Genomic DNA, 9631 nt, shown 5'->3' on the forward strand with positions numbered 1-9631 from the left:
GTGCATTAAGTAGATGTCTAATCCAATTATTGTAGTATCATAAACAGAGAAATAATATCTTAAATGAGCTCTGAAAAATCAGAAAAGTGTGGTATGGTTGAAATATATGTTTTATTAATACTGATAATATGCTTATTTTATTATGCAATTCCTAACCAATTTAAGAACCTTTTTACAGTGCAGCCAAACTTATTACACATTAGAAGTTTTATTTTATATCACTTTGGCAATCAGAGGTGTAGATACAAACCGAGGAACTTGAATCTCATGGTAAAAATGATCTAGAATATACTTATAATGATCTTTTAAAAATTATCATCAAAATGAAAATAAAATTAAGAAACCATGGTGGAAATTTCCCAGATGCCCTAAGCATGCATTTGCCAGCCTTGAGTGATCCACTTGGAGGAACAGTGACCCAGAGTGGGGTTTCTCAGTCCTGGCACTATTGACCTTTTCACTGTTAATTCCTAGTTGGGCAGGGTTGAGGGTTGCTGTGCACTGGAGGATGTTTAGAAAGCATCCCTGGCCTCTGCCCATTAGATGGCAGTAGTGCTTTCAGTTGTGAAAATAAAAATGCCTCCAGTCATTGCCAAATGTCCCCCTGAGGGACAAATATCACTGACCTCCCCACCTTGGTTGAGAACCACTGATCTAGAGCAACTACAGCTATTATCTATTAATGTTTTTTTTTTTTTGAAAATCTGAAGTACAGATCTATAAATACGTATTCACAATCTGAAATCCAGAAAGTGCTTAAATTTAAAACATTTTTCATAATTTTGTAGCAAGCTCACTGGGTAAAACTTCGCCTAAGCTAACAAAAGATATTTAAACTCTATATGTCTCAATATCAGTGTCCATGTGTGTTGCTACAGAAACATTTATGTGTTTAATTATAAAATTCTGCCTCAGAACTCTCTGGGGGTGTTAAATAATACATTTTCAAAATCTGAATTCCAAGACACATTCCAAAACAGTAGTTTACGGTAGGGGATTATGACCCTGTATTTGAAAAGCAAGTTGACTGTCAACAATGCTATACTGATTTAATTTTTCCTGATTTTGACCTTTGGCTATTTTTATCCTTCTCATATTCCTCTCATATATTTTTCACAATAAAATAGGAGACATGATAGGAGATATGTTTTTTGCCCAAAAGAAAATAATACACTTAATGCCAGTACCTGGTAGTTTTTATTATGTGGTTGATGGCCAGTACTTTCCATTGCTATAAACATTTTGCATCCAGTTGTAAATTTTTTCTCATTGACATTGCTTTTTAACTTTAGTCACTGAAGACTGTCCTCTTAACAGCTTAAAGTACATGGACTAGTTTAATTTGTGACTCTGTTACTCATTAAACCTAAATCATTTTCTTTGTATTAGGTTGGCATCACTCTCTTCACTGTGTCTCATAGGAAATCTCTTTGGAAACATCATGAGGTTTGTATTTCTTTCATTGAATGGTACAGTGAAATTTTATTTTCTTTAAAATATGAATTCAGGTTAATATGGTTTTAGATTTTATGGTTTGTATTCCCTTAAACATATGTCTTAAGGAGAAAAGGTGGTTTTGTTTTATAAAATAGGATTTTCTTAAATATTATAGTTGTCAGTTTTGAAAGCAATGGTGTAACAGTTTTTCTCCAGTTTTATAAGTGACTCTTATCTGTTAATAGTAACTGACTAAACTTTGCATAGTCTTATCACAAATATGGTGAAGTAAACTTTTCTTATCCAGCAGTGACAGAGGAGAAAAAGTCTTAAGAAGAATTAGATGGCAAAAAATTTAGGGACATTTTTAATAGAGGTCAGGACTACAAGGGGGAAGATTGAATAACATAAGCTATGTTTATCAATGTACTGTAGTAAGTAGGATTCATTAGATAGTCACTATAATTTACAAAGATATTCAAATGAGGCTTACATTGGTGCACGTGTATTACTTATTCTGGTGCTTCAGTAGTGCCATTCTCACTATGTCAGTTCTTTTCAACTCAATGTGAAATGCTCAAAACCTGAAAGTAAACCCAGTTTAATTCTCTTTATTTTCTTTCCTCCTCCCTCCCTCCCTCCCTTCCTTTCTTCCTTCCTTTCTTTTCTTCTTTCCTTTCTGTCTTTCCCCCTTCCCTCTTTCCTTTCTTCTCTTCTTTCCTTCTTTTCCTTCCTAAATGATATAGAAATTTTAGGTAAAAGCAAGGATTTGAGAAAAATTGGAATAATGGTAAAGGTGCCTTGTTCCACAAAATACATACCTGATTAAGGACCTTTTTTTGCCAGATACTGAGCTAAGTGTCATGAGGGATGCAAATTAATTACAGTTTTTACCTTCAAGAACTTTAGGATGTAGATGATAGTCTACAAGTGATAAAATGAAGAGCATAGGATTTGAAGTCAGAGAGCCTGGGTTCAGGCACCAAAGTTTCTAGCCTCAGTTGCTTCCTTTGTATAATGAAGTTATTGAGCCTTACCTTCCTATCTCTTAGATTACCATGAAAATTAGACAGGTAGCCTATATGAAAGTACTTAATAAAATTCAGTGAAATTCTATATAACTGTGTGACTTTTAAAGATAGCTTTTATTATTTTATGGCATATTATAACTTGTCAATTTTTCATGAACTGAGCAGGAAATTGAATAACTAGAAATCAAAGGCATTTAAAATATAGCCAAGCCTTTATGTTTTCTCGGAAGTTCATAAGTATTATAGCCATAGGACATTGAGAGGAATTGAGAGCATTTGGGTTTCACCCTTCCTCTTCTTTTGGAGGTATAGACAAGTAGCAAAATAATCATCACGCCAGTGATCATGTGAAGGAGGGGAACACAACTAGAATGTGAGGGGCCAGGATAGCTAAGAAATAGTAATACAGAAAATGGAAACTCAGAAAGCTTTCTGAAAATAAGCCACTAAATAAAAACAGAAGGCTTTGTAACTGCTGTTGTGTCTTCAGAGGTTAGGATATATCGGCAGTTTTTATAGCTCTTTTTCCCCTCTACTAAATTAAAAACAAATAAAAAGCCTTAAGCTGGAGATTTCAAGCTGATTAGGAAATCAGGCTACAGGAAACAATACTGACTGACCTATGGAACAGTCTTGCATTTAGCACAGTTTAACCTACTGGTAGCTGAGATCCTTGGTCATGGAGTTACGGAAGCATTCTGATTTGTGGGATGCTTATAGATTTAGCTCCCTTAAAATAATGAGGAAGTCTGTATTTTACTTTTCATAAAAGACAGTACTATATTCACTCTTAGTTACTGACTTTTTTTCCCCCTTCTTTCCCATAGTACTACCTGCATATGGATGGCAGAGGCAACTATGAATTCAAACAGATAACAGAAGATACAGTTGAGTTTGGCTCTTAGAGAAATCTGGAGAACTATACCTGCTTCAGTGAAATAATTACAGAATATACTTAGAAAGGCAAAGTACATTGTAAAATAAAGTTGAGCTTAGTTTTTTTTAAAAAAAAAAACAAAGCAACAAATTAACTAGATACAGAATAATGGAGAACAAGTTGTTAAAACATTTAATATTATATAGGATATTGCTAATTGTGTATATGTTGGTTTAATTAATAATATGTACTAAGAATGTCCTTATTCTTGTGGTTAAAAACCTGCCTAAATTAAATTGGGCTTCAATCACTGTAACCTGATTCATCCTGGGATGTAAACCATTCGAAGTCAGCTAATTGGACTTTTATGGCTCTATCTTTTCCTTCAGTGAAGAACCCTATTTAAAACTGGGTCATCATTTGTCCTGTTCTAGCAAGATAGTCTTCAGTTTCATTTTCCTGTGCCCTGTGGTAGTTGGAAACAAATCATAATGTATTATTTAAATGTTTAACATCATTGCATAACAGCGTTTATTATACAGTGGCAGATTTCTTTAGCTGCCACAGTAATACTCATTCCTTGTGTGTGTCTTGGAGTGCATTTGACTCCAGGAAAAGCCATTTTGGTTTTCCTTAACTAAATGATAAATGTACCCCTCTCAGTCTGCAGTATTGAGTTGTTTAAAGTATATGTGCAGTCTTGCTTACAAGGAGGGGTTACCATGTATCACACCTAATCTTCCCAATGTTTGGGATATTAAAACACAAAGTCCTTAACATGCCAGGCTCAAGGTCTTATAAGAGTTCTAGATTTTTAAGAGAATTAGACAAATTTGTGTGTGTTAGAAGCCCATTCATTAGAAGTGTGGTGGTTATTTGGTATTAAACTCCAAATGAGCCATAGGAAGGCACTACATGAAATAATGCACTGAGTATGCAATGCTATCACTGTCTTTGACTGTGATTTTATGTTTAAAAAGTATGTTCTAAAATTATTATATATACATGGGTGAATTATGTTTCCGAGGCACTGTTTTATCTCTGTGAATCTTGAATAACTTTTTTATATTTGGGTTATGATGTCAAACGATCCTAAGCGAAGATGATTTCAGTTCATCAAATCATCATTAATGACTTTATGTATTATTTGCACAGGGAGAATTGAAACTGAGTATAATCAATAAGCTAGATACGAAATCAGTTTCTCAAACTGAGCTTCAGAAAGGGGCATTTTGTACTCTTGTTTTTGCATAACTGGTTTTGTTTTTTTGCAGAATTAACTATAACAATCACTGGCTACCGAAGTAAACTGATGTACTGAATTCCATAATACATAACATTCAATTTTTACCACTTCTGTTTAGCGAACTTGTATACTTATTTTCTGTTCAGATTAAAAAAAAAAAAAAAAAACTCAGATATCCTATACAACCTTTGCTTGTTCTTTTTATTCTGGTATCTAAATACTGAGAAGTTCATTTATAATTCAGCCTTGACTTGAAAACATAGATAGTTTAATCTTGACTTGAAAAACACAAAAATAAATTCAGAAAATGCTTTTAGCACAGTGTCTCTTTTTTAAAGTTTTGCCAAGTGTGGTTTTTAATTGAATGAATTTCTCTTTTAGAAAAGTTCAGTAAAATCTGTGTACCTGACAAATGCTACCAAACAGCCAGGAGACCTTAAAAGATACTATTCGTCTTGGAAAAGATTTTAAGGCATGGGAAAGTTTCAGATTTTCAGATTTCTGGGTTACCTTAAACCTACTCGTAGAAGTATTCTCCTAGCTGCCTTATAATTGCTTTTGTTATGATTCTTGCCATCAAAACAACAACAACAACAATTTGGGCTTTTTTTCTTAATTATTTTCTTTTTTATGTAACAAATATTACAGTGCCTCACCATTTGAGGCACAGAGGAAGATCCTTCTGGAGAATCACATTAACATAATAGTGGTTCTTCGAAGACCCACAGTAAAGAAATCCATTGGTTCAAAAACATGATTGACCACGGAACATCTTTTTCTACATAATTCCTATTAACACCTTCCAGAAACTGCAGTGGGAAATGGTAGTTTAATCCGAAGAATAAACCAAAGAATAAGAACTTTCATCCATGAGCACCACGCTGCATGCCAAGACATATCACCGTGTTCTCATAATAAGTTTTTACTTTTTATATAATGAGAAAATAAGTATGAAACAGCAATGGTAGTTTGTTTTGCATTAATAGAATAAAATATATCTAGCATTTGTCTCTTTCTCCCCTTTCTGAATGATTAACATTTGGCTTAAAACCGGTGATATGATAGCATCTGGCATTACTTTATGTAAAGTTTTAACTTTTAAATTTGGTGTTTAAAATCATAATTTGTGCTGAGAAGCAGAATGAATTTTCTTCTAACAGATGGACTTTGACATTGTTAGCTGCAGGAAGCTGTCTCTTTTTTTTTAAACCTACATTAGTGATTTTTCCTTTGTGAAGAATTGGAATGTTCTGACCATTTCCATATACATAACATATGCATGTCACTTTAAGAAAGTGCCAAAAAAACTGAAAAGCAATCCCCTCCAAACCTTAGGAGCAACGATTTTAAACTCTTCTAGTTGGTGTAATTGCATTTCATTTTTTTAAACAATATGCCTTTATAGCCATTTCTTGATTTATCAATTTTAGACATTCCCTACCACCTTTGTTTCTGCCACATCCCCTCATGTAGTTAAATCATTTTTTAAATTTGTAAACATTTTATTGTAGTATATGTACAAAAACATTGATAAATTTATAAGAAAGCATACACACTGGTAACCACACCCAAACACCAAATGAAATAGAACATTGTTACAGCACTAAAGGCTCCTTCTTGTTCTCTTCCAATTATTAGCTCCTGACTTCTATCACATAAATTGGTTTTGCCTGTTTCTGGACTTTATATATATTAGATACCCTTCTGTGTATGGCTTCTTTCCCTCAGTATTGTGAGGCTGATTGATCCATGGTAAGTGTGACCATAATTCCTTCACTTTCATTGCTGTATAATGGTTAATTGCAGACCATCCCTGACTTAACAGAGGGTTCACCTTACAAGTTTTCAGCTTTATGATGGGTTTACCTGGATGTTAAATGCATTTTTTGACTTAACGTATTTTTGACTTACTGTGAGTTTATTGCGATGCAGCTCCATTGTAAGACCAGCAGCATCTCTATATTGAATAGGCTATGTATTCCTCTTCCCATTGATGGGCATTGGGTTGTTTTCTGTTTGGAGCTGTTAGGAACACTTCATAGAAACACTCTTATGCATGTCTTTGGGTGCACATGTGTGTGCATTTCTGGAGTGGAATGTGTTCAGCTTTGGCACTGCCAAAGTTGTTCAGTTTTTACACTGCCACCATAAGTGTGTAAGAATTCTGGTCTTCTTAGTCCTTGCAAAGATTTGGTATTCCCAGTGTTCTTTTTTTAATTTTTATTTTTACTTAATGTATCTTCAGCCATCATTGTGGTTTCATTTTGCATTTCCCTGATGACTAATGAGGTTGAACTCATTTAATGTTTATTGGCTATCTAGATGTCCTCTTTTTTGAGGTGCCTATTTAGTCTCTGGGCCCTCTTTTAAATAATGTTCTATTCCAGATATTCTATATTCTGGATATGAATCTTTTATTAGATAACTATTCTAATATCAGACAAATTAGACTTTAAGACAGTGAGCATTTCTGGAAATAAAGAGGGACATTTCGTAATGATAAAGGTCAGTCAAGCAGTGTAACATTTCTTGATTTGTATGTACCTAATAGCATAGGCTCAAACATAGAAACTGACAATAATAAGGGAAAATAGACAACCCCAATTTTTAGAGTGTTACTTATAGACCATTCCTGACTTAACAGAGGGTTCAGCTTACAAGTTTAATTCCATGATGTTTAATTTCTTTGGAATTTCTGTTAACTCAGGTAAAGCTCCTTTTGCTAGTTCTTAGAGTGGAATAGCAAGCTCTGGGATCTGGATTCGAAAATGCTTTTCAAAAGTAGCAGTTATTCTAAATAAAAATAGTTATAGGCAATACTTTGAAAGCTGTCTCTCTTTTTAAAAAAGATAATTGGTGCAACTCTAATTAGCCAGTCAATTTACCAAGTGACTGGAATGCTTGAGGCAATACAAAACTCCAAATTTTGTCAAACACACATTTATTTTTGGCATTATCTATGACCAAGATAATGTTTTAATGATGGTGGCATGCCCTCTTCCTGGAACACTTTGTAACTTCCCCCCACCTTGCCTGGTTAACTCTATGTCCTTCAGCTGAGATTGTAGGTAACCCTTCCAGGTCCAAGTTAGGTGGCTCCATGTAAGTTCCCCAAAACACCCTACTTTCCTTATCATAACATTTATGTTCTATTGTAATTGACATTTCACTCTGCAAATACATAAGCTCCACAAAAGTTGGGATTATATGTTTCATATTTTAATCAAATCTATAATGTCAGGCATGTAGTAGGTGCTTAGTATTAGATTAAGTTACTGAACAAACGAGTGAATTCAAATGCATAAGTATGGTTCTTGCCAAGGAAATGACAATCCAGAAAAGGGGCTACAATGGGTGGACAACCGTTTTGTACAGTAGTAAGAGTTAGAGTGTAGTAAGGAAGTGGAAAGAATGCAGTGGGAATCCAGGAGAGGAAACCTCCTCGGTGAGATCCAGGAAACATTACAGTCTTGCTGAGTTGGTAGAAGCAAGGAGCATGATCAATGTAAGCAAGGCAAGAAAGCTTTTGGTCTTTAGGAAGCTGTGGATTAAGACAGAGGTCCTCAAATTATTGTCTGGAAAATGTATAGTATTTTTAGTATGATCACTACTCTGCCTTTTCTTATGGCTTGGATTCAGAACTTGCTGATATTTAAGTTTTAATACATGGCATCTTATCAAGACTGTGCAGTTCTATCCATTGGTGGGGTGCCTGTCTCCCTTTTCCATCCCACCTCCCCTACCCTGTTTGTGAAGGAAGGCATAGAGAGCAGTTTCTCAGACTTCAGTGTGCATACAAACTACCTGGAAAATGCAGATTATCATTCATTAGGTCTGGGATTGGGCCCAAGAATCTCGATTTTTAACTAGCTTTCAAGTGATGCTAAAGCTGTTGTCCCAGACCACAGTTGAAGTAGCAGGATCTGGGGTGGGAGCTCTGGCTATAGACTAGAGAGGCCATCACAGGTACAGTTGCAGAAATCTGCAGAATATTCTCTGGGTTCATTTATTCAGGCTTCCCTTTCATGTTCCTTCATGCTTAATCACCTACAGGTATTCTGGATTTTATTTACAATTCCTTTAGTTCTTTTATAATCCAGTCTGTGAACATTTCAGTCAAGTTATCTGTCCTTCTCAGGAACTCAAGATGGCGCCACAATCTTAGTTGTAAAGGACGCTTCCCGTCCCAAATGATGTTAATATATGCAAGGGAAAAAGCATTTCCTGCCCCTCTGAGTTTCTGTTACATCTCTTATTCTCCGGCCTGAAATATGCTTGGAGAAGACAAATTGCTTTGCAAATGGAGCATAGTTGTTTGGTTGGTTTTTGAGAATCAGGCTGGGTAAAGATTGTCATGTCAAAAAATTTTTTCTTACAACTCCTTTAGATCCCTATTTTTAAGGTTTATTAAATTGTATATATTCAAGATGAATTTCAGCTTCTCGGTTTCAAAATTCCTGAATTTTTAATTTTCATTTCACCCAGAAATACAGTGATTTTAAAGTATTAATTATTGATGCTTTAATAATGTATAATCATAGGATTTAAGTGAAAAGGGGCTAAAGATCTTAGACCAATGAGCGCACCTGAAAAAAATTTTCCCATTTTTGCTTAAGCTGTCTTGAGTTTCTGTTCCTTGCAACCAGAAAAATCCTAACAGACTCATATATAACAAACTTTACAGGGAGTGTGCAGTCTACAGATGGAGACTTGTCTATGCTCTATGTATTCTTAATTTGTTTTGGCTTCAGAGCAGGTTGCATTCTGATTTCTCCAAGGCCTGGGAAGCGCCATTTGGGTCTGTGACTACTTCCAGACTCTCTGCAGTAAATAGTAAACACGTATTGCTGATCGCGGTCATTAATAGATCAAGCCAGTGGTTCTCAAACTTTAGTGGGCATTAGAATCACTTGAAGGGCTTCTTGTTAAAACATAGATTGCTAATTTGGTAAGTCTGCAGTCAAGGTCAAGAATTTGCATTGCTACCACGTTCTCAGGTGACACAAATGCTGCTGGTCTTGGGACTACACTTTGGGAACC

General features: G+C 35.0%; 1 protein-coding gene across 8 annotated transcripts in view; it reads left to right on the forward strand.

Annotated features, from left to right (window-relative positions):
• The window catches only part of ABCD3 (ATP binding cassette subfamily D member 3), a 133533-nt gene extending 128626 nt beyond the window's left edge, over positions 1-4907 (forward strand). For all 8 annotated transcript variants that reach the window (XM_047426556.1, XM_006710802.3, NM_002858.4 and 5 more), the window contains 2 exons: positions 1390-1446; positions 3296-4907. In XM_047426556.1, the coding sequence (XP_047282512.1) occupies positions 1390-1446; positions 3296-3373 (135 nt within the window). In that variant the 3' untranslated portion in view covers positions 3374-4907. The remainder of the gene's footprint in view (positions 1-1389; positions 1447-3295) is intronic.

This window comes from Homo sapiens, chromosome 1 (assembly GCF_000001405.40).
Source record: "Homo sapiens chromosome 1, GRCh38.p14 Primary Assembly".
Lineage (NCBI taxonomy): Eukaryota > Metazoa > Chordata > Mammalia > Primates > Hominidae > Homo > Homo sapiens.